The sequence below is a fragment of the Homo sapiens genome, chromosome 13 (genome assembly GCF_000001405.40).
Source record: "Homo sapiens chromosome 13, GRCh38.p14 Primary Assembly".
Classification (NCBI taxonomy): domain Eukaryota; kingdom Metazoa; phylum Chordata; class Mammalia; order Primates; family Hominidae; genus Homo; species Homo sapiens.
Window position 1 is genome coordinate 77592543 of NC_000013.11, and position 23880 is coordinate 77616422.

General features: G+C 37.2%; 1 protein-coding gene and 1 long non-coding RNA gene across 27 annotated transcripts in view; one reads left to right on the top strand and one right to left on the bottom strand.

The window, feature by feature from the left end:
• The window catches only part of SCEL (sciellin), a 109558-nt gene that overhangs the window by 56837 nt on the left and 28841 nt on the right, over positions 1–23880 (top strand). For 6 of the 25 annotated variants that reach the window (NM_144777.3, XM_011535290.2, XM_006719884.2 and 3 more), the window contains 13 exons: positions 972–1031; positions 5003–5047; positions 6787–6846; positions 7147–7206; positions 9523–9582; positions 10112–10171; positions 10534–10593; positions 11814–11873; positions 15514–15573; positions 16516–16575; positions 17505–17564; positions 20349–20399; positions 21351–21413. In NM_144777.3, the coding sequence (NP_659001.2) occupies positions 972–1031; positions 5003–5047; positions 6787–6846; positions 7147–7206; positions 9523–9582; positions 10112–10171; positions 10534–10593; positions 11814–11873; positions 15514–15573; positions 16516–16575; positions 17505–17564; positions 20349–20399; positions 21351–21413 (759 nt within the window). The remainder of the gene's footprint in view (positions 1–971; positions 1032–5002; positions 5048–6786; positions 6847–7146; positions 7207–9522; positions 9583–10111; positions 10172–10533; positions 10594–11813; positions 11874–15513; positions 15574–16515; positions 16576–17504; positions 17565–20348; positions 20400–21350; positions 21414–23880) is intronic. The other 19 variants (XM_011535286.2, NM_001160706.2, XM_047430713.1 and 16 more) reach the window with 15 other exon arrangements.
• SCEL-AS1 (SCEL antisense RNA 1) lies at positions 7213–14009 on the bottom strand. Of its 2 annotated transcripts, NR_126412.1 has the most exons (4): positions 13935–14009; positions 11729–11848; positions 9600–9708; positions 7213–7478 (listed from the first exon to the last, which is right to left on the bottom strand). It is a non-coding gene; the product is annotated as an SCEL antisense RNA 1 (long non-coding RNA). The 2 variants fall into 2 exon arrangements; NR_126413.1 differs by lacking the exon at positions 11729–11848.

Genomic DNA, 23880 nt, shown 5'->3' on the forward strand with positions numbered 1-23880 from the left:
TTTCTTCTTCTTCTTCTTCCTTTTTTTTTTTTTTTTGACAGGATCTTGCTCTGTCACCCAGGCTGGAGTGCAGCAGAGAACTTATAGCTCACTGCAGCCTCAAACTCCTGGGCTCAGGAGATCCTCCTGCCTTAGCCTCCTGAGTAGTTGGGACTACGCGCACAGGCCACCACACCCAGCTAATTTAAAAAGAAATTTGTATGTGGAGATGGGGATCTCCCTTTGATGCCCAGGCTAATCTTAAACTTCTGGCCTCAAGGGATCCTCCTTCCTTGGCCTCCCAAAGTTCTGGGATTACAGGTGTGAACCACCACACCCAGCCCACAGTTCTTAATTACTATAAGAATTTTCCTAATTGTTCCTTTTATGATCCAGGGATATTGGCATTGATCTGATTTGGAATACATGAGCCCTCTATGTGCTCAGGTGCTTCCACCTATTCTAGAGTCTGAGAAGACAAACATTTTCACCCCTTTAGGGTGAAAAGGAATAATTAATTAATTAATTGTATCTGTTGCTTAATGCTGCTTGGTTCTGGTAGAAAACCTTTTGAACTCACTTCTGTGTTTACTTGTCAGTTAAATGGATTTTGTTTTCTATGTCCTTTTTGTAACATAGAACCTGGGAGCTGGCAATACAAGTCTTCAGGAGAAAATGTAGTTATTTCAGTGAGCACTAGATGGCAGAGCCAACACCCAGGTGGAATAACAGAGGGGAGTGTGTGTGTGTGTGTGTGTGTGTGTGTGTGTGTGTGTCTGTGTGTGTGTGTGTGTGTGTCAGTGGGGGATGTGTGTGTCTCTGTGTGCCATGAGCTGACATAATAGAACCATTTTGTCATTCTGTTAAACTCAGTAATTCCTGAACACCACCTAGACTATTTACTTTATTTACTGAAAACAAATGAGAAATTTTAGCTCCTTCAAAAATAGCTCGACTATCATTGACCTGTATTTATTTTTCATTGTTTGAAGGAGTCAGGATCTTGATAACATCGTCAAAGTGGCCACTTCACTTCAGAGAAGTGACAAAGGGTGAGATCTCAGAGCTTTTGAGCTTGGGTTTTATCTTCCCTGGTGTTTCAAAAATGCTTAACCACACCTTTAAAAGTTCCAAATATGAACAAAATCCTAGTGCTGTATATCGTATATAATTTAAAATAAGAAAGCATCAGTTTCTCCAGATAAGTATTCCTGAATAGTGGATGGTGCCAACATTTATGGACACTCTTCCAACTCTGCTGCTTTTTCTGGCAATTTTACTCACCCAGTGACCTCAGCTGTCAAGCCTCATTCCAAATATCCAGTCCTGTATTTATGTTGCTGGTCCAGATCTCCACTCATCTCCTAGCACCACCCCTCAGGATGTCCAAGGTCATATCCAAATTCCTTCCCAAATGTGCTGTTCCTCACTTCTCTGTTCTTGAATTCCTGCAGACTCACCTTTCTGGAATAATTCTTGATTCTTCCTTCTCCTTCCCCTTCCCCTTAAGTAGTATCATGCATGCACGAATTAAACATCTAAAATGTCCCTCATGTGTACACGGATTTCCCCTAGTTTAAAACCTCATTGACTCCTTCACAGATTATTAGAGTAGTTATTCAGCTTTACTTACACTCTTCAGGCTTTCCTTCCACTAAACTATTATCACCCATCAATGCCATAATTTTTCCAAAGATTCTGCTCAATCACTGAACCAGATCCACATTGCCCATTCAATGGCATATAACCTCATTCAAAGCCCTTGCGAACCTGGCTCCAGCCTCACATTCCAGTTATTTCTGTTTTCACTCCTATATTTATCCTACGTTCATATCAAGGGAAACCATTTTCTCTCTGTAGTTTCCAAATACTCTGGCTTTGTTTATACCACATGGTAGCCTTTTCCAGCCTCAAGCCACCATGCCAATCCATCCAAGCCCTGCCCATTGTTCAAGATCTGGATCAAGTGGCACCTTCTCTGTTGTCTTCCCTGAGTGATCCAGTGAGATGTGACTTCTGCCTCTATTAGCACTTAGAGTTGCACTATTCATATTTTATAAGAGCGAATCATACTCAGTTTTGTTTCCTGTTATTTGCATAAGTGTGTTACCTTCTCTATCATCTCTATAGTCTCTCAGGGCAGATATTTTGTCTTATTTGCCATTTACAGTGTGTGACATGATGCTTTGTACACAGTGTTTAATAGATTATGGTAAAATCATAATATTCCATTGTTTAAGTCCAAAGCTCTCAAAAATATTCCTTGTTTAATAGATTTTAGTAATGCTAAGAGTGTTGTTAGAGATTGCAGTCTCTGTCAAAAGAATTGAAGAGAAGAAAATGTGACACTTGGCTTTTCTGTGCAAATTCATAAACAAAATAGGAGCTCTGAATCCAGACAGAGTCTATAGAAATTGTCCTGAATGTTTCATTTCCATGTCTTCCCTCATTGAAGTGTCTAGATCTCTAATTTTATTGATTTATTTCTGTTGCAGGTAATATTTTGTTTCCAGTAGGGATTAGACAGTGGTTTGGTGGGTGATCGGGATATCTGAGAAACAGATAAGTGAGTGACTCTGAAGGGAAATTATGGTTTGGTGTAAATCAAATAAAAACTGTCAGAGAGGCAGTTAGTTTAACTTTCCTGTCCCTGCTCCCTAGCCATAATGCTCAAATTCCACAGCCAGGTACATTTATCACAGAGAGAAGTTGCTGCTTGACAGGGATCAGGAAAAATGTTCATGGTAGTCATCATAGAGTATTGTTTCTTTGGACCATCCACAGGGAGTAGAAATGGCTTTAGTTATCCGAGCTGCTCTTTGTGAAATGGAATGTTACTGCTATCTGATTAAGAGCATTTAATTTGTTACAAATGCAATGGTGAAACTTAATATCCAAAGCTTTCATCAATTTAAAGTCATTTTGAAAGCTTAAGTTTTTTATTTGGAATACAGTATCCATTTTATTTAATTTGCCACAGAGTGTCTTCTCATGATTTATGCTAATTTTCTTGGGATAAAGCAACTCCAAATCCTGATAATCTCATCATTGTGACTCATGCCAGTCAGGAAAGCCTGGGGCTAAAATTTATAGGACTCGTGGGTTTGCTCTTTCCCTTGGGGACATGAACAGATTGTTAGTCTCAGAGTTAGTGGGTAGAATATCAAGCAAGAAACAGTAATGGGTTACTGTGTCAAGGGACTGGGTAGTGTTTGTCACACACAAGGATAGAGCATTAATTTTTTTGTTGTTGTTAGAGGCAGCAACTTTTGTATTTCAGTATTTATTCTCAGGCAACAATTCTACCATTGATACCTAAAACTACTTGACAGGATTCACCTATGTACTGGCTGTTAATTTAGGGTCTCTAAGAGGACTACCCTCAGCAGCTATTCTTGCTATAGTGTCATCGTGCCAGGCATCTTCAAGCACATAAGTGACTTAGCAATTGCATCTCTCTCTAAAGGCTAAGTCGAAGTCTTGGTGTTTCTAAGTGCAATTAAAAAATAAGTATAGCAAGCATTTACTAGGTTGGGCGTGGTGGCTCACACCTGTAATCCCAGCACTTTGGGAGGCTGAGGTGGGCAGATCACCTGAGGTAAGGAGTTCAAGACCAGCTTGGCAAACATGGTGAAACCCCATCTCTACTAAAACTACAAAAATTAGCTGGGCATGGTGGTGCACACCTTTAGTCCCAGCTACTTGGGAGGCTGAGGCAGGAGAATTGCTTGAACCTGGGAGGCGGAGGTTGCAGTGAGCCAAGATCATGCCATTGAACTCCAGTTTGGGCAACAAGAGTGAAACTCTGTCTTAAAAAAAAAAAAGTATAGCAAGCATTTATTAAACAAAAAATTTAGTAATGACAGGGCATTATTTATTATAATGGCCCAAATTAATCAGGAATTTATGACTTGTTAGGCATTGTGCTAAATACTTTATATTCATGAGCTTATGAATCTTTTCTGAGGTGGGTATGATTAGTATTCTCATTTTACAAATGGGAAAATTAAGTCCACAGAAGGTTAGGTAACTCACCCAGATTCACCAATGAATAAGTGATGAGTCCTGGATCGTACTCCATGTGTCCTTAACAAGGAAACTTGAATGCGTAACTACTGATTTGTGAACAGAAAAACTTGCTGAGGAAGGCAAGAGAGGTGGGGCAAGGTGTGTGTGTGTGTGTGTGTGTGTGTGTGTGTGTGGTCGGGGGTAGGTCATGAATAGAAAAGTTGGAGAAAGGACATGCTGTGACAGGGAACTAGAGGAAGAAACCAATAGCACTGTGGTGAAACCCCCACCCCACCTCACCTAGGCTGCCTGCTTAGGGGAGAAAGTTGAACCCATGTGGTTTAAATAGAATTCCTGAACCTAAGTATTTAAATAGGTTGCTCCTGAAGCAGCAGCCAGAAAAGGCTTTGCAGTTGTCAAATGTGGAAACAGGCTAGCAAATTTAGCTGACCTGGAAATGAAGTAGCAGAGCTCAAGAAGGAAGCCAGACTTACTGATGAACAAATGTTTTCTAGAAGCTACGTGTGCAAGTACATTGCACAATGCTGTAATTAATCAGTGTACCTATGTGTGGACTCAATTAAAAGTGGGTATTAAGTATCTACTGTATGAACACTGTATTAAAACACAGAAGTGTGTCTGATGTAAAATACAGTTCTAAATTTTAAGTGGTGTGCATATGTGTGCCTGTGCTGAGGTAGGAGCATTAACATGAGACCAGTGTGCAATGGCTATAACTCAAAGTATAGTCACAGAACTGTCATAAAGCAGGTGCAGAAAAAACAAATGCTGCAAGGGCTCCAAAAATGTAGAGGACTCTATTCAGTTAGAGGACTAGGAAAGGCTTTCTGGAGAAAGTGGTGTTGGATGCGAGCTTTGAGGATCATCAGGATTTTCGCAGATGATAAAAGTGGGATGTGTTGTATTTCAGAGAACTGTCATTTTAAGGCAAATTTACCCTTTGACCCTGGGCAAGCTTTTTACTAATGTTAAACATTTTTTTCTCTTCCCAAAGTGAAGAATTGGATAATCTCATCAAAATGAACAAAAGCTTGAATAGGTAAGATTTTTAAATGTTTATCTTTTATTACTGAGTTGCATATTGTGACTTTTTATGCCTTTCCAGTCTTTGAGCGTGAGGACCCACATACCAGGGTAGTCAAAAATATCCTACAAATCTTGAATAAAAGCTTGCAGCAATCATCATCATTTCATTGTTATGATGAATGGTTATTAAAGTCTGAAGATACTAATATGAAAGTGTTCTTGATTTTCATACGCCATTTGTTTATTAAGGCAGTTATATAAATAACCACTTTTCTCTTCCTGAAATATTAATTAACTAAAATGTAAACAGAATTTGGTTTGATCATGGAATAATTTTAGTTTAACCATTACAAAAAACATTTTATTATCATAGTTAATGTTATATTGTTTATTATTATTTTTTGAGACAGAGTCTTACTCTCTTACCCAGGCTGGAGTGCAGTGGTGCAATCATAACTCACTGCAGCCTTGACCTCCTGGCCGCTAGCCATCCTCTTGCCTCAGCCTCCCAAGTAGCTGGGACTACAGGCCTGTGCCACCACGTGTGGCTAATTTTTAATTTTTTGTAGAGATGGGGTCTCACTATGTTGCCCAGGCTGTATCTTCTTGTTTTGAATCATTTATAATTGTATAACTTGAAATATGCCAAGAGAGAAAAATGAATAATCAAGGCTTGTGTTTGTGGTAAGTATAATGTAAGCAAGCTCTCTATTACTTTGCATACTAACCCACTAAACAGTGATCAAAGAGAAGGAGAAAACAGGGAAATGCCAAATGAATTCATTGATCAGAGGATCCCGAGATGTGTTTTTCCTATCCTGTTCTGGCAATAATGATCACTTAATCTGCTGCTCTTCAGTTTCCTCATTTACAAGGAGAGGAGGTTTTAGATCAGGAGTCACAGACTCCACGGCCCGCTGAGACCAGGCAGGTGTGAGTGGGTGAGGAGACTGACTGTGATAACTGCGGCCAAAAGGAGAGCAAATGCCCTGTCTGAGCACACAGCTGCTTCTCAGCTCAGCTCCAGCTGAGGGTCTCCACTGAGTCTAGTGTTGCAGGACAGCAGGGCATTCTCAGGAGATCCTGAAAATCCAGTTTTGTTGTTTGTTTGTTCATTCGTTTTAGAGACAGGGTCTCGCTCTGTCGCCCAGGCTGGAGTGCAGTGATACAATCATAGCTCACTGCAGCCTCCATTTCCTGGACTCAAGCAATCTTCCCACCTCAACCTCCCAAGTAGCTGGGACTACAGGCACCACCACCATGCCTGGCTAAGTTTTAATTTTTTTGTAGAGATGGGGTCAGACCATGTTGCCCAGGTTGGTCTCGGGCTCCTGGGATCAGGTGATCCTTCCACCTTGGCCTCCCAAAGTACTGGGATTACAGGCATAAGCCACTACACCTAGCCTGAAAATTCAGGTTTCTGTGTGTCCTGACCATCATTGTAACATGGGCTCACTTTAAAGCCCACGCTTGAAAGCTAAAAGGGTAGAAATGCTCCATGAATCCAAGTAACACCTCTATAGACCTATTGTGGTTGACAGATCCCCAGTTTATATCTTTTATTTTGTTTTCTCTAAGGCCCACTGCAATTTAAAATTTGAGTCTATGAATATACCTATTTCAAGAATTGTAGCTCATCTTCCCCAACAAGCTTCTGTTTCCTGTCTTAGATGTAAACTGGTCTATGTTCTTATAGAGTTAAGCATTGGTCATTATCACTGATGAGGCTTTTTTAAATCAATACATTTAAAGGAATCAAGGTCTTGATAGTCTCTTCAGAGCAAATCCAAAGGTAGAAGAAAGAGAGAAAAGGTAAGTGCATCTGTCTCAAATATGAAAATCTTACCTTGCAGATTGCTCGTCTTATTCCCTCAGACATTAGCTGCAAGGGGGTTGTATCCTCTGGCATGGAAATGTACTGGCAGATGGGGTAGTGCTCTCAGCATTGTACATTTAGTTCAGACATAATTACCCAGAAGGATTTCTGCTCTTCCATTCAATAAGAGTAAATGAGCAATTCATGGAGAATGTTTATTGCATTTGACCTTTCAAGATACCACACAATTTCATTTCAGTATGCAGCCTTTTATGTGAATTTCTTTGTGTTTTCAGAGCCAAAAGCCTTGAAAGTCTCATCTATATGAGTACCCGGACAGATAAAGATGGCAAAGGGTAAGATTTTATTAAGACAGACCATTTTGATTGAGTCCCAGATGGTGTACTATTTTCTGGAGGAGACCTCCTGCTTAGTACAAGGGTCAGGCAGGCTGGTGGAATAAGCCTTAGACTGGGGTCCAGGGATAGTGTGTATCTTGGTGCTGGTTTTGCCACCAACATCAATCTGGGTGACCCTGGGCAAGTTGTGTAATTTCTGGAGAGCTCTGTTTCCTCATTCCATAAAATGAAGGATATGACCTAGATGATCTCCCAGTTCCCCTTCATATCTAAAATGGAAAGAAACACAACTAGCTGTTACAAGTAGTGGAGAATAGGTTGGTTTATGAACTAAATACATTTATATTAAGGCATTTAGGTGCTGGGAGCATAGCCCCTCACCACTGAAGTCTCTTTCTCTCTTTTTCTTTTCTTTAAGACAGAGTCTTGCTCTGAGGCCCTACCTTGGCTCACTGCAGCCACCGCCTCCCGGGTTCAAGTGATTCTTTTGCCCCAGCCTTCCGAGTAGCTGGGATTTCAAGTGCCCGCCACCACGCCCAGCTAATTTTTGTATTTTTAGTAGAGATGGTGTTTTACCATGTTGGCCAGGCTGGTCTTGAACTCCTGACCTCACGTGATCTGCCCACCTAGGCCTTCCAAAGTGTTAGGATTACATGCATGAGCCACCACGCCCGGCCACCACTGAAGTCTTTAGAGTGTATAAAGGCACTTCTCAGTTGGAATCTTAGTTGGGTCATTTCATATGTATATCTCTTCATACGTATTTGTAAATACCTTTAAATGAAAAGCTATGCTTTTATTTATTTTAAATCATAAAATGGGTTAATTGATGATTAGTAACTGAACTGATAGCATTTAAGAGGTTGCCTTATAGTTCTAGCCTGACTGATATACTAGATAATTGACTTACATGACTGATATTATTTTTCTTGTTGAAAGAAACCAAAGCCGTGACCATTTCACTAGAGAAAATCCCAGAATAGTCAAGAATGACAAAGGGCAAGGATTTATGAGATCTCTACTATTTTTGCCTTCCAGATTGGCTGTTTACTTTGTATTTGGTTAGTCATGAAATTTGCCTTTCTAACATGAGAATTATTTCTATTGTCACAGTTATTTTTAAAAACCATTTATCTGTGCCAATCTATGCCCAGAATGGCATTCTAGCTTTCCAAACCAATCTTGGCGATGCATTCTTAACCCTTTATGATGTAGAACACTTAACAAAGTCTACATGATGAAAAGCATTGGCAGTAACCATCACACAGGCTTGTTAATAACATATGATTATAATGTAAACATGCCAACATATTATAGACAATTTTTTAAAAATGTGGAATAGATGAAGTTGAAAAACAGTCTCTTTTTTTTTTTTTTTGTACATGGCTATATGAGCTTTCTAGGAATAGATGAGGTTCCAGATATTTTTCAAAAACAGTTTGGAGAGTTCTGCAAAAGTGGTAGACAAAAGGACAAGTAGGATGTGCATCTTAAGTAGATCATTTTGTGGGCTGGGAAAAAGATTTATAATCTGGGATAATTTGATAACAACTGAGTTTTGGTGCAGGAATAACTGATCTTGTCTGCATGGTAGGGAAAAAGTCCTAGTTCTTTTTTCTTCTTCCCTTCCTTCTTTCTCACATTGAAATAACTTAAAATGTCAACAGTCTTATCACAGAGAAATCAGAGAGATGAAAATGGCAAAGCATAATACTTGGAAGCTTGGGGGAATTTAAAGAGATTAGCTTTCATATTCGCTAATAATTTTTAATCATTAGCATGTGAAAGTTTTATTTCATTTATATAAAGTGCTGGGACCATAACAGTTATTTTGACTTTACCAAGGTGACTTCAGACCCTTTAAACACATCTGCTAACTTTTTAAGAGAAATGACTTGTCTGAATTCTCAAAGTATTTAGACTTAAAATATTGATCAATTGATTTCTACCCCTGATGTAAATGATTTTCATGCTTAAATAAGACAGTATCTCAATATACGTATTAAAATTAGCCTCCCACCAACCCACCTCCAAGAAAGCAAAAGCCTTGGTTAAAACTTTTAAGTTGACTCCATCATAACTGAGTAATGGTTGGTATCTTAGTCTCAGGCTGCTGCTTATGCATTTTGCATGATGGATAGAGCCACCTGAATTCAGTATTTCCAAGGACTTCTGATCCTTTAGGCACTGATTGTATCTTATGAGATTCTCTTGTGGGAAATCTGCTGTTGTCATTACGAGAGTCTGAATATATCACTGAGTTGCTCTTGCCTCACTCTCTCTTTCTCTTTCTTTTCCCCCAATGTTGTAAAGAATCCAAAGCCTTGGAAGTCCGATTAAAGTTAATCAAAGGACTGACAAAAATGAGAAAGGGTAAGTCAATCTCCTACCTTGATGGAGCTCTTTTTATTCAGGTTAGCTTTTTTACCTCATTAGGAATGGGAGTGTTATGCTTTCCTTTGTGGCAGTGAACTCTTGTACTGCTTTGACCCATCAGACCTAGTAGGCAAAAGGAATATGTTGAGTGCTGTTTCATAGGACCTCTGATTTGAGTTACATTGAAGTAGGTGCAGGAAAACCTGCTACATAATCTCTTATTCCGTATTTTCTTAAATAATTAAGAGATGAGTCAAATTTTAATTTAAATTAAGAAATATAAAGGACAAAATTGCACAGCGAGAGCCACATTGAGAAGCCTTTCTAAACTGATTTAGACACATTTAAATGAAATGCTATTGTGGAAATTACTAAAGGTAAGTTAAGGATAATTACATCAAAGCTCTTTTTGGTCATTTGGTCCTGAAAACACCTGACACCACATTCAGGGACATTCTTGATTATACAGATTTCAGAGAAAATTGTACTGTAACCTAACTGACAAGTTTTGGTGTTTTTTCCAAAGAAGACAAAATCTCGAATCTGTTGCTAAAGTGAATGCCAGGATGAATAAAACGAGCAGAAGGTGAGAACTGAACAGATGTCTCTAAATATTGGTTATTTTCTCTCATATTAATTATGTGATATTGAGGGCACCACATCTTTGTTTGGCTTCTCTCTTCTGTGTCTAATCCCTGGTGCCCTGATCTTCACTTCAAAGAATCTACAGTATATTCGATCTAAATTTACATTTACATATAGCCCAATAAAATCCTAAGGATTAATTAAACTATGTTATTGATTGGCAATTTTTATACTTAAAGCCAATTTAATGTCAGTATAATAATTTTCTCCAAAAGCTTGAATTAATCATTGGGAATACAGAAGATGTATGTGTCTAATATTATGGGAATGTTTTGAAACTGATATAAACTTTTTTTTTTAAAGAAGTGAAGACCTTGATAATGCTACTGAAGTAAATCCCAAAGGACATGAAAATACCACTGGGTAAAAATAATTAATGTCTTTAATTATGGTTTCTGTTAAGTGTCAATCAGAAGATAAAATAATTTGGCTTTTTAGCTTCATAATCGTGTTTTATTAGCATGGAATTAGACAATAAAGATAGGCCACACGACCATCCCTCCTTATCCCCAATAAAACCACTAACTTTTGGAGCATTGTCTTAATGTTTGATAGTAAATTGCCTTTTTGCCCAGATTTTGGGCTTTGATTTGTCTTCAGAGTAAGTGACTGAATTGAATTTCTTTGTGCCTAAAGAATGCACAGTCTTGACAAAATTTTCAAAGTGTATTTCCAAAATGACAGAGGTGGCCAAGAGTGAGCCATCATTGGAGCTCTGGTAATTCAGCTCCTCTAAGGGTGGTGGTCTCAGGAGACAGCCCAGGCGAGGCTGGGCTGGCACACACAGGGGGAGTGAGGACCTCCCACCACTTTTTCTCCTATTCAGAGCTGTGTTGACATGGCAGTGGCACCCAATCGCAGTGCTTCTGTCTTCCCCTCCTGTCCCTTTTAGATTCTGCTGCTGCCTTTTATGATATCAAAGTATTTTAATGGGGTGGCCTGTGTCCCCCTGGGGAGTGAATCATTAATTTTTCTACTACGTGAGCTGTTTTTTCTTGCCCTTTTTTGCTCACCATGATCCATGATCTACTCTGAAGGAAATGATATTTAAAAGGGTTTGGGCTAGGTAGATAGCTGAGTTTATATGAAAGCATACGTTCTTATTCTTTTAGTTAATATTGTTAAATTCTTGTTATTATGAAATTATGATTCTCAACATTATTCTTACTACTTAAAACAGAATAGGCAATTGTATCCAGTTTATTGAGTAGAAATTTATACTGTCTGGGTCCAGTGTAGAACTCAATCTAACTTAATTGTTATTTCAATGCTGCCTGCTTGGAGTGTTCTAACAAGATGTATCTGAAGGCAAAGTTGATTTTGTTAAATAACAAGTTTCATATATACTTAGGTATTCTGAGAACAAAACAAAAAATCAGATTTATTACTAACAAATAAGCAACATTAAATGGTCTTCAGCTCAAGTTGTAAGAGAATATTTTCATTTTCTTTTAGAGCTTTAAAAATTTACATTGATATAGAAAACTTGTATATTTACCACTTCTTAATTTTTCCAGCCATTATTCATCTGATTAGTGCTATACTTTAACATCATTCATTAAAATTAATTTCCTTTTTCAAAGAAAAAAAGACCTTGATGGGCTTATTAAAGTGGATCCTGAAACAAATAAAAATATTACGAGGTAAGACATTTAAAGCTCCCCCCTCCCCTTTGTTTGGCATTTAGAAGGACGTTAGAATTCTGAGTGTTGGTATTCAGGACAGTAAATTGGAATTCAGGCCAAAACAAACTGAGCTCTTTTTTCTCTAAACACTTCATAGTAAGTAATTCTGTGCAAGTGATACACCTAAATCTCCTGCATTTTATTCTTGGGCAAAGTTTGTTATCAAATAATTTTGAGAAATTAAATGGGAATTTGGGCTGACCTTCTCTACTGAACTAAATGATTTATTTCTTTGTATGCTAGTGTGAGTACATGTATTAGTGTATGTGTGTGAATATATAAGTAGTGTGTTTATATATAAGTGCATGTATGTATGTGTAAGTGCATATGTATGTAGATGTAAGTAGTGTATGTGAGTGTATGTGCATGTGTATCAGTAGTATGTGGATTTAAGTGCATGTGTGTATAAATGCGTGTGTGTATAAGTGTGTGTGCGTATGTATAAATGCATGTGTGGATGTGTATATGTATGATCTACATGCGTGTGTGTGGGATATTTGTGTGTAGTGTGTGTATGTGCATGTAGTGTGGTGTGTATTTAAAGATGAAGAGCTTAACAAAGTGTGCTTTGTTCTTACCCATGAGTTGTCAAGTAAGTCTGGAGAGCTTATGTCTTCTTGCTTTTTATTTCTTATAAGGCAGATGGAATATTTTTGAAACTGAATTTGTTGGCATGTTGCTGGAAACAGTAACAAACAATTGCATGTAGTTTCCCTTGAATTCCTTTCCATTCAGTTAGCTCAGTTCATAATATTATTTGTTGATTCTAACATGTGTCATGGATGCCTGCAGGCCCAGTTGGGAGGGCAAAGGCTCAGTTAGTTGAAAAGCTGGTGTGCACACTATCATGCCTGCCCTGTTTGTGTAGGTGTGGCATGGTCAGAGGCACCGCGACCCAATGAATTCAAGGCTTGCACAAGCTTGCAACCCATAGAAGGAGAAGAAAACATTGATTTCCTTCAGTACCTGGGTGGTTCAGGGAGGTAACCTGAGGTAGTCAGTGCGAGCAGGGAATCCAAAAATCCTATATTCGAATTCTGGCTCTATCACTTGCTGACTATCTCCCTGTGCCTCAATTTACTCATTTACAAAAGAGGGATCATAAGATTCTCATGCCGGGCACATAGTAGATACAAGTAATTGTTGCAACAATAAAGATTCAGGTGAATTATATTTTCATCATAATTTAGTGTTCAAATATTTAATTTCCACTTGCCAAGAAAAATCCATGTTCCTTTTCTAATTTTTATTAAAAATAATATTTCCAGGCCGAGCACAGTGGCTCAAGCCTGTAATCCAAGCACTTTGGGAGGCCGAGGCGGGTGGATCACGAGGTCAGGGGATCGAGACCATCCTGGCTAACACAGCGAAACCCTGTCTCTATTAAAAATACAAAAAGTTAGCTGGGCGTCCCAACTACTCGGGAGGCTGAGGCAGGAGAATTGCTTGAACCTGGGAGGCAGAGGTTGCAGTGAGCCGAGATGGTGCCACCACCACTCCAGCCTGGGCGACAGAGTGAGACTCTGTCTGAAAAAATAATAATATTTCCAATCAGGACTTATTTTTCTTCATATGTTGGTGTGTGTATATGTGGGCATGCCTATGCTTATGTGTGTATGCATGCATACAAATGTTTTTGTGCATGTGTGCATTCATGTGCATGTCTACATGTATGTGTCTATATGCATATGTAATTTCCCATGTACATGAGTGTGTGCATTGCATGTGTGTACGTTGTGCATGTGTGATTGCATATGTATGCACAATGCTTGTGTTTTCATGAGCATATGTGTAAATATACACATGTGCTTTTTTGTGTATATGGGTGCATATGTACATGGATGTGTATGTACCTGTGTGTGTGAGCGTATGCGTAGTCCTTATGGACTCTATGAACTATGAGATTTAAATAACCTTATTTTATTATGTGCTTTATTTAAAATTTAAAGAGATCAAGTCCTAAAAATATAGTTAAAGCAAACCCCACAACCAACACAAAGGGAGGGTTGTAATGCTTACCGTTTTGTTATTTTTTTGAATACACAAGTCTGGAAATAGCATCCTGGGAATTTTATTTTTCTCAGTCACTGGCCTTCAAATCCCACATACTTCATTTAGGCAGAAATCAACAAGGAGTAATCTGGAGTAGAGTGATTGCTTCTGTGGGGCTAATTGTTTCATTATTTGCATAACAAAGGTTCAAAGTAATTATTGCTACTTTGAGTCTGTATATCACATTCTCAGACATCTGGATACAAATAAAAGACTTGAATCAGCATCTAGTTGCTTCCAAATATCTGTATCTTTGATGTTGTATAGACAAAACCTTGGGGCTTTTGGACATGGCCTTAATAGGGTCACAGAGTATGGAGACGCAGTGCAAAAGGGCCTTCCTGTGGATGTTCTTTTCCCTATGTGGCATCCTCTGTAGATCAGAGCAGCATTTACTGCTGCTACTGGTATGCAGAAAACACATGTAGATGCAGGGAGAAAAGCAAAATTCCACTAAGATCAGAAACCGAGGTATACTAAAGAGTAACAAGAAACTACTAAAATGTTTTCGATGACTGTGTGGAACTTTATTTTATTTTATTTATTTCTGAGACAGGGTCTTGCTGTGTCCCAGGCTGGAGTGCAGTGGTGCAATCACAGCTCACTGCAGCCTCAAAAGCCTGGGCTCATGGGGATCTTCTCACCTCAGCCACATGAGCCACATGAGTAGCTGGAGCCACAGGTGTGCACCACCATTCCAGGCTAATTAAAAAAAAAAGATTATGGAGACAGGATCTTGCTATGTTGCCCAGTCTGGCCTGGATCTCCTGGGCTCAAGCGATCCTCCCACCTTGGCCTTCCAAAATGCTGGGATTGCAGGAATGAGCCACCATGCCCAGCCAGAGTGTTGCGCTTTATATTACACTTGATATTACTGTAAGATATTACAGTTGATATATCTTACATTTCAGAATGTTTCAGAACTCTGTAGATTTTAATATTCCTATTGTTTGTTGCCAAAAACAACTAGTCAAAATTCATAATTCTAACACACAGTTATAAGTACCAGAAGCAATTACTGGGTTGCATATCATAGATTTTTAACAAATTGGTGTATTAATCTTAATACAGTTTTGTGATAGAAAAATCTGCTAATGAATGCCAATTTTACAAAATATGGATTCTCCAAAGCTGGTTTTAAAGTTCTACATGTTGGAGGTTGATAAAGAGTATGCCTTCTGGAATGCTTCATGAAACAAGTATATAGACTAAGTTACAAAAATGTTTTGTGCACCTGGTAAAAGCTAAAATTATAGCATTTAGTGCATAAAAGTAGAGAGAATCCTAGTGCAATACTTGCTAGCGGCCAAATGGCTCTGAGACTAAAATAATGTCTCCCTGAGTCTCAATGAATTTCAGAGATGTACAAATCCCTACATATTTCTGCATAGTCACCTTTCACAATCTTCAGTCTTCAACTCCTTGGCATGATCTCAATGAGTGTTTACACTGCTTCTGAGTTTTAATGAAATAGCTTTATCTTCTTGTTGTCAGTCTACCATTGTTACGTGTTGTCAATCTTAACCATTTCTTCAATGTTTTAAAGGGGCCAGAGCCTTGATAATCTCATCAAAGTGACCCCTGAAGTAAAGAGAAGTAACCAAGGGTGAGGACTATGTCTTACCTCTCTTCCTTCCCCTTCCCCATCCATTTGTGGCACTCAGGAAAGAAGATGTGTTGAAAAACCTTTGGATTGGGATCAGAAAGGCTGAACCCCATTACTTACCAGCTTGGTGTCTTTGAACAAGTCCCTTGAATGCTGAGCTTCAGCCTCCTTAGTTATAAACTGAGGATCATAATGTTTGTTTGGCCGGGTACGGTGGCTCACGCCTGTAATCCCAGCACTTTGGGAGGCCAAGGTGGGCGGATTACTTGAGGTCAGGAGTTCAAGTCCAGCCTGTCCAACATAGTGAAACCGTGTCTCTATAAAAAATACAAAAATTAGCCAGGCATGGTGGAGTGCACCTATAGTCCCAGCTACTTGGGAGGCTGCGACAGGAGAATCGTTTGAACCCAGGAGGTGGAAGTTACAATGAGCCAAGATCCAGCCACTGCACTCCAGCCTGGACGACAGAGCCAAACACCATGCCAAAATAATAATAATATTTGTTTTTTGTCACTTGATAGTTGTTAGGAATGAATGAAATAATGGGTATAAAATCCATTTTTTAAAAAAGGATATTACAAATGGAAATTATTAACAAAACAGTTTAGTTATAGCTATAGCATTAGATGGAATGCTTAGGGGAACCAGGTGAGAATTTTTAGCAGATTATTATGTCACTCATTAACTGATTTTTTTTAATGGCGTCTTGCTCTAATTATATGGTTTTATTTTGGGGGTAAATGAGAAACTACGTCAGTGTACCAGTGATTGGTAAGAAGGTCACAAATTTTAGTCTTTTAAATTAAGAGCATAGACTGGTATCAATTTATCTCAAAACTCAGTAGTAAAATTTATCTTGAGTACATGTATCCTTTAAATCAAAACAGTCAATTGATTTAATTCCATTTTTATTTATGATGTTTTTTGTTTTTTTGTTTGAAGTTCCAAAGACCTTAATAACTTCATCAAAGTGTATCCAGGAACAGAAAAAAGTACTGAAGGGTAAGATTTAATAAGCTCCCTTTTTTGTTTCATAGTAACCAATGCCTAAAAGTATAATTAAAGCATCATTTCAGCTGACTGATGCTGAACCCAATGATCCTTCAAGAAAAGCCATGTAACCCTGCTACCTCACATCTGAAATGTTAAAAATTTTGGTCAACCAATTTCTGATACAATGAGACAATTACTCTTTGACTAATCAGGAATAAAGTTGTTTTCCCAGGATGGACTGGACATTTTTATTCATTGATTTATTATTTTTCTTAAGCAGAAGGGATGGATGACACAGTAGAGGGGAAAGAGAACTAGACCGGACCCCATAGTTGTGGGTCTAGGCCTGTCTCTGCTCCTCTTACCTGTGTGTGCTCAAACTAGTCACTTCTGTTTGGGCTTCAGTTTCTCATCCTCAAAGTGAGGAAATTGCACGAGGAGCTCTCCCAACACTCCCAAATCTAATTCAGTTACTAAGTTCCAATAGATATTTGGTGTCATGGTAAGGCACAGGCATTCTGCAGCCAGATTACCTAGCTTTAAATCCCACCTCTGTTACCACTAGCCATGTGGGAAAATTACTTAAGGTTTCTGTGTCTCAGTTATTCCCTCTATGAAACTGGAATAATAATACTTCCTATGTCATAGGATTGATGTGAGTATTAAATTAGACAAATCATGTAAATCACTAAGAAGAGTGCCTGGCCTGGGACATCAAACATTTTCTAGAAGTTCTTATTCATTATTTCTCTCCAGTTTTAGTTAGGTCCCTATATGTATATTCACAGTCAACACTGAAAACCCCCAGCCCTCTGAGATGATCTCTAATTTTATTATTTTAATAAATATTTTATAATAAAAGTATTTCTCTGTTTTAACAAACACTTGAAACCATTCGATTTAAATCTACCACTGATCTGATTTTCTATGTTTTTAAGGGGCCAAAGTCTCGACAGCCTCATTAAAGTGACTCCTGAAAGAAACAGAACTAACCAAGGGTAAGGTTTATGGAACTCTCTATTTCTCCCCCCTTTTTTTTTCCTAATGAGCTTAAAAACATGACAAATTGTGCGGTGGCTTACGCCTGTAATCCCAACAGTTTAGGAGGCCGAGGCGGGAGGATCACAAGGTCAGGAGATGGAGACCATCCTGGCTAACATGGTGAAACCCTGTCTCTACTAAAAATACAAAAATTTAGCTGGGCGTGGTGGTGGGTGCCTGTAGTCTCAGCTACTCGGGAGGCTGAGGCAGGAGAATGACATGAACCCAGGAGGTGGAGGTTGCAGTGAGCCGAGATGGCACCACTGCACTCCAGCCTGGGCAACAGAGCAAGACTCCGTCAAAAAAAAAAAAAAAAAAAGATAAATTGCATTGTCCCGCCATAGAGACAACCAATGATGGGACCCAAATCAACAGATCCTGTGTCAGAAATCTAGTGTTCAAGCACTTACCGAAGGCTCTCTGGCCACAGGAGAGAGAATTCCTTGAAAGACAGGAATGATCTCTTACCAGTATGAGATTGTGTTCCATGCTGAGGATTTCCTTAAAAATTAATGGGGATTCCCCATGAGACAAAACATCACCCCAAACAATTTCCCTGATCTAAGTAGCCTAAAGAAAGGTCTTCATATGATAAAAAATTCTTCCTCCTTCTTCTTCCATCATGTATTACCTCTCTTCTTATTGTCTACCACCCAAACAACTCTTAAAGTTGGGAAGTCATTTAAAAAATTATTCTCAGTTCATTGAAAAAAGAATGACATTTGTCTTTTATATAGAAAGAATCTTCTCTAAGACATATCATGTTAAGTAAATAAACAGGCATAACAAAACCACCAGCTTGTAAATGTATATTGTTATATGAATTTGAACATGAGTTAGATGTAAAAGATACCAAGATATATATCTTCTCTCAGCAGATTTCCTATCTTATTTTGCATATTGGAATACAGTCTATTTTACAGTATGTGGCTATCAAACAGAGCTTATTTAGACTAGATCAGAGGTCAGCAACTTTTTCTTAATGGGCTAATAGTAAATAGTTCTGGTTTCAGGGACAAAATTGTCTCTGTTTTTAACTAGTCATCTCTGCCAATAGTGTGAAAGCAGCCATAAGTACCTTGTGAACAAATGGGCATGGCTGCGTTTCAATAAAACTTTATTTACAAAAGCAGGCTGCAAGTTGGATTTAGCTTGAGGGCCATAGTTTGCTGACCCCTAGACTACACAGTATTTTATTTGAGTGTGTGAAGAGAATCAAATCTGACTGTAGTTGAAGTGGATTCTGAAATACAGCCTACCACCCCCCTGATTTGGCATATATTAATACAACTTTATTTTTACTGTTGAGGGTCAGACACTAAATCCAGAGACCATATAATTACATTACACATTAAGATTCAGTGAAAGACAGTTGCCTTTTCCCTCTCCCGAGATGACTTAGTTTCTAAAGGTGAAGATGGCCTGATTATTCATGGCCTTTCCTTTATAATGTTTGAGGCTGTATTTTGGTAGCCACATGCTGCCATGTATTGCATTTGGTTGTGTGTTTATTTCTTTTACTTGGTAGTGAGATTTTTTACTTCAGAGAACCTTTTGCTAGCTGTGTAGTCTTGGACAAATTGCTCAACCTCCTTTAAGCCTCAGCTTTTTTATATGTAAAATCAGGATTGTAAGAGTTAATTTCTTCCTGAGTTTCTAGAAAAATTAAATATGATCATGCTCGTGAAACACTTAGTGTTCAAGTGCTTATTAGACATTATCTGTTAGTATTATTATTACTCTTAAAATTTTTTCTTCATTGTTAAATCCCCATAGCACTACTCAATGTGAAGAAGATAGCAAATAAATTTTCCTGGGATGTTGAATCTTATGAAATTACTGACATTCAATTATTTTTGACCAACAAAATGGCAATTTTAAACAGTTCAATGTAATAGAATATAGTAATTTACATGGAAGGATACACACATGATAAAATGAACCTATAGATTAGTCCTAAAGATTAGTTAAAAGTCTTTCCAATTATTTTCTCTCCAGGATATATAACATATCATCCAATAATAAAGTGTAACAAATTAGGTTTCCTATTCAGGTCTTTTGGTGTTAGGGTTGGTATCATTACTGTGATAACAGCAGCATCTCTGTAGAGCTATGAATGCCTATGTGAGTGTTTACAATAAAAACATAAATTCTATAAACTGAGGCCTTGCTTGTGCTAATTCAGCTTTGCACGAAGTGTGATTCTGAACTGATTTAATATCTTGGGGTAGTGTGAATATTACATATTTATATTGTATATATTACCTGCATAACTTAGAATCAGAAAATAACTGCTTTTTTCTTTTCTTTTTTTTTTTTTTTTTTTTTTTTTTTTTACAAATTATCTCAGTTTTTGTTTGTTTTGGAAGAAGGGGAGCAAGGAACATATGGAAATAATGAATAATTTTATATTTTCTCTCGTGCATTGTAACCTCCAGAAAATATTATAAATGGTTTAATTCTGCCACACAGATAAAGTATGTAAAATAAAGAGTTTAGGAATAATTCTGCTTTGAGGTTAACGTGAAAGAAACAAAAATAAAACTAAATTAAATTATCATATATACAAATGTATGCAGGAAATGAATTGATAGTAGCCACCTGTTTTTACATAAGGCTAAAAGTTTAAGTATAGATGAAGTTTTAAATTAGCAGGTCATTTGATTAATATTAAGGTTGAAAAAATATACAAATTATTGGATTTTAGTTGACTTAGCTATTGAAACTTAACATTTTTTTAGGAACCAAGACTTGGAAAATCTTATCAAAGTGATCCCTTCAGCAAACAAAAGGTAAACTTATTAAGATAATTGAAGACTTCTTAGCAAGTCACCAATTTATGCCCCAAAATAAGATTAATTATTTAACTAAAGACATTTTGAAAGGGGACATGAAAAAAAATGAGAACAAGTTGATGTGTAATAATGCTGGATAGATTTTTCTGTCTATTATTGCTTTCATTAATTTCATTATATTATTGTAGAAAATTATAATATTGAAGCTAATTCTGTGTAATTACTACTTTAGAAATTCCTTTGACACAGTAACAGCATAACTAGATTATAACCATAAGTTCATAGTTAATAAATTACAAGTTCATAAAACTGAACAAATCAGTAAATATTGGCTTTCTGTTCTCTCACAAACACAGGGATTAATATTTAAATGACTTGTGAAAAAACTGACAACATAATATTCTTATACTTGATTAGAATATTTTTTGCATGACATTGAATTTACTTCTGTTCTTGAGAAATTAAGATCCATTATACACTGGACAAAAGTTAATAAAAGCATGGCAGAGAAACCCCAAGCTATCACTCATTGAATTATTGTGAAGATAATGTTGGTGAAAAGCATTGTGTGGATGTAAGGGATTGTTATGAACATGAGACAGAGGGAGGGTGTTGGGGAAAGGAGTGTGGAGTTTGGGGTCCAGTTGCTGTGGTTGGAATTTTGGTTCACCCTCAGTCACTTAGGTATCTGGCCCCAGGGAGTGCCTTAATCCCTCTGAAATGCAATATCTTTGTTTATAAAGGCTGTGGGGGTGGGGGCGGTGGTATTAATATTGATGTCATTGAGTTGTTGTGAGGATTAAAAAAATGGTAACTAATATATATAAATTGGAAACTCAGTAAACTTATGAGTTCTTACACTAGGATTCTATTGAATGACTTGCACCTGTCAAAACAAAAAAGAAATGCCAGTATGAAATTTGCCGATTTCCTCTAATTTTGTTTTAGCAGTGAACAAGGTCTTGATGAACATATTAATGTCAGCCCCAAAGCTGTCAAAAACACTGATGGGTAAGAGATGGATGTGATTTTTGTTGTGTTTCTCGTTAAGTAAACCCAAAATTAATAGAAATGATTTAGAATTATTCTATGGGCAAATTGAATATAAATCTCAAAATATCATCACAGGTGGAAACCTAGATGTCTCAGTATTTGTTAATTGCAAGAAAGAGAGGCAGCTGGAAACAATGTATGGCGGTGCTTTCTCTTCTCTAAGCCTCCAGTAAAGGAATTGAGCAGAGCGATTGGACAAATGGGCAGGAAGGAGCATAGGTAGTCTAGGAGCTGCTGCTGTTTTGTTTTGTGTGGTATTGAAATTAATACTTTTGTCTTTGAAATTGATGATAATTTATTAATGGTAGTTAATTTTTAAAAAAAGACCTAGACACTTCCATTAGACTAATCATTAGCAGTATCATTCACCTCATTTTAGAAGAGTTTTCTGGTAGTCAGTGGAAATTTTATGAGGTTCATTATTCTTTAGAGATTTACTGTGCTCAGCAAGGTTATGGACCTAAAGTTTAATAATTCTTGAAGTAATGTCAGTGAGATAATGAAACTCACTTTTTGTCTATGGTTAAATGAAGACAATATCATTACACATTACTGTTTTATATATAAATATATCTTAAGAATGGTTTTACGATTTCCCCTTTTAAGTTTTGTTGGTACGTATACAAATTGTAAAATTTTAGAGATGGAGGGAATGAACCTTAAGATATCTTGGCCCAGTAGTTTGAATAATTTTGAAAACCAATGTTCCAGATGAATCTATTTATTTTGCAGAAGAGGAAATTAAGACTCAGAAAGGTTAAGTGATTTGACCAGGGCCACAGAAAAAATTAGTGGAAGACTGATAGTAGTTCTATGATCTCTTAGGCAGTGAATAATTACTGAGCACCTACTGGGTTCACAGCTTACAACTAGGTATCATTACTTGTACATTAGGTATAATTATAGGTTGTGGAAGCCAAAAAGAGAATTCAGTAGACATAGTCAATCTTATTAACAGCAGGCAATTAACATAGATTAAAGCTAATTATGTACCAGGGGCACAGAGATGTTACACCAAGACAATAATAGGTTGTCAGTTTAATATATTACATTTTGGAGCACTCATGTACTGCTTGCTGAATATAGAATATATTGTCCATGAGTTGCATTCTTAAAAAGGAGACATATTGAAGAGCTAATTAATAAACACAGAGGCAGTAAAATTCATATTCATGGAGTCCTAGGAGGAGATGTTTGGAGATGGACAGAGCCTTGGAGATTATCCAATTCAATCTCCTCATTTACAGATGAGAATACTGAGACCAGGGGCAAAAATCTCACAGTCATCTGTGAGATCTTCTAACTCCCAGCCCAACTCCTAGTCTTTACATCACAGCACACAGACTTTGATCTTAAAATATATAAAAATTAATTAAGCGCCTTGGAAAATAGCAAAGGCTGTAAAGATAGGAGTGTTGCTCTTGCTGTGGGATGGCCAGGACGTGTTTTTTACTGTTCTCACAGGGTTACTTGAAAGAATACTTCATAGATTACAATGGCACAAATGTGCAAATGATTGCAAAACACTTTACAGCTTTTAAACTGCATGAAAGTAATAATAACCTAAATATCCTAATGTATCCTTTACTACATTCTTAAAGCTAAATAAATAAAAACAGTAACTTGAGAGAAAAAATGTTACATTTTCCTGGATAAAATTTAGACATGCATGTTTTGCAGGATCTAGGGCCTGAAAAAAATCTACATATTTGTTGTTTTCAAAAATTGCATGATGCTATCAATCAAGGCAATTCAGGACTGTTCCTGAGATTTTTGTTTTATTAACACATGGTGTTGCCTTTATAGGAGTGGTGGTAGAATATAGCATATATTTATGTTTTCTAAGCTAATGTTTCTCAAATGTGGGTTGCAACTCATTAAAGGGTCTTGTCATTAATTTAGTGAATGGCAATCAGCATTTTTTCTTAAATTAATAGAATGAACTGAATAGAAAATATGAGAGTTCTTAGGTAGTAAGAATATTATTTCATAAAATTTATGTCTCTCTGTGTGTGTGTGTGTGTGTGTGTGTGTGTGTGTGTGTGTGTGGCTGTCTGTAAAAGACAGTATTAGGCTGTGATGTAAAATGTATTTCTTATTGGGCTTTATGTAACAGTGGTTAGAATATCATTGTTCTAGATTATTAGGTAAATTAAATTTTTGTGCTCAGTAGGACAGTGAAAATGGAAGTTCTAGTGGATTTTTTTTATGTTACTTACTCTTAATTATGCTGACACATAAATATTATCTGTGGTTACACTAACCAATATTGTGATTAATTTTATATTTTTTTAAAAGTGTGGCTTTTGAGCATACTGTCCACTCTACAAAGTTTTATTCTTTGTATTTTATAATAATATGTGAAATTAACCTCATTTTAAAGACTGTTGTCTTTCTGACACAGTTTAGTTTTATGACAGATTTT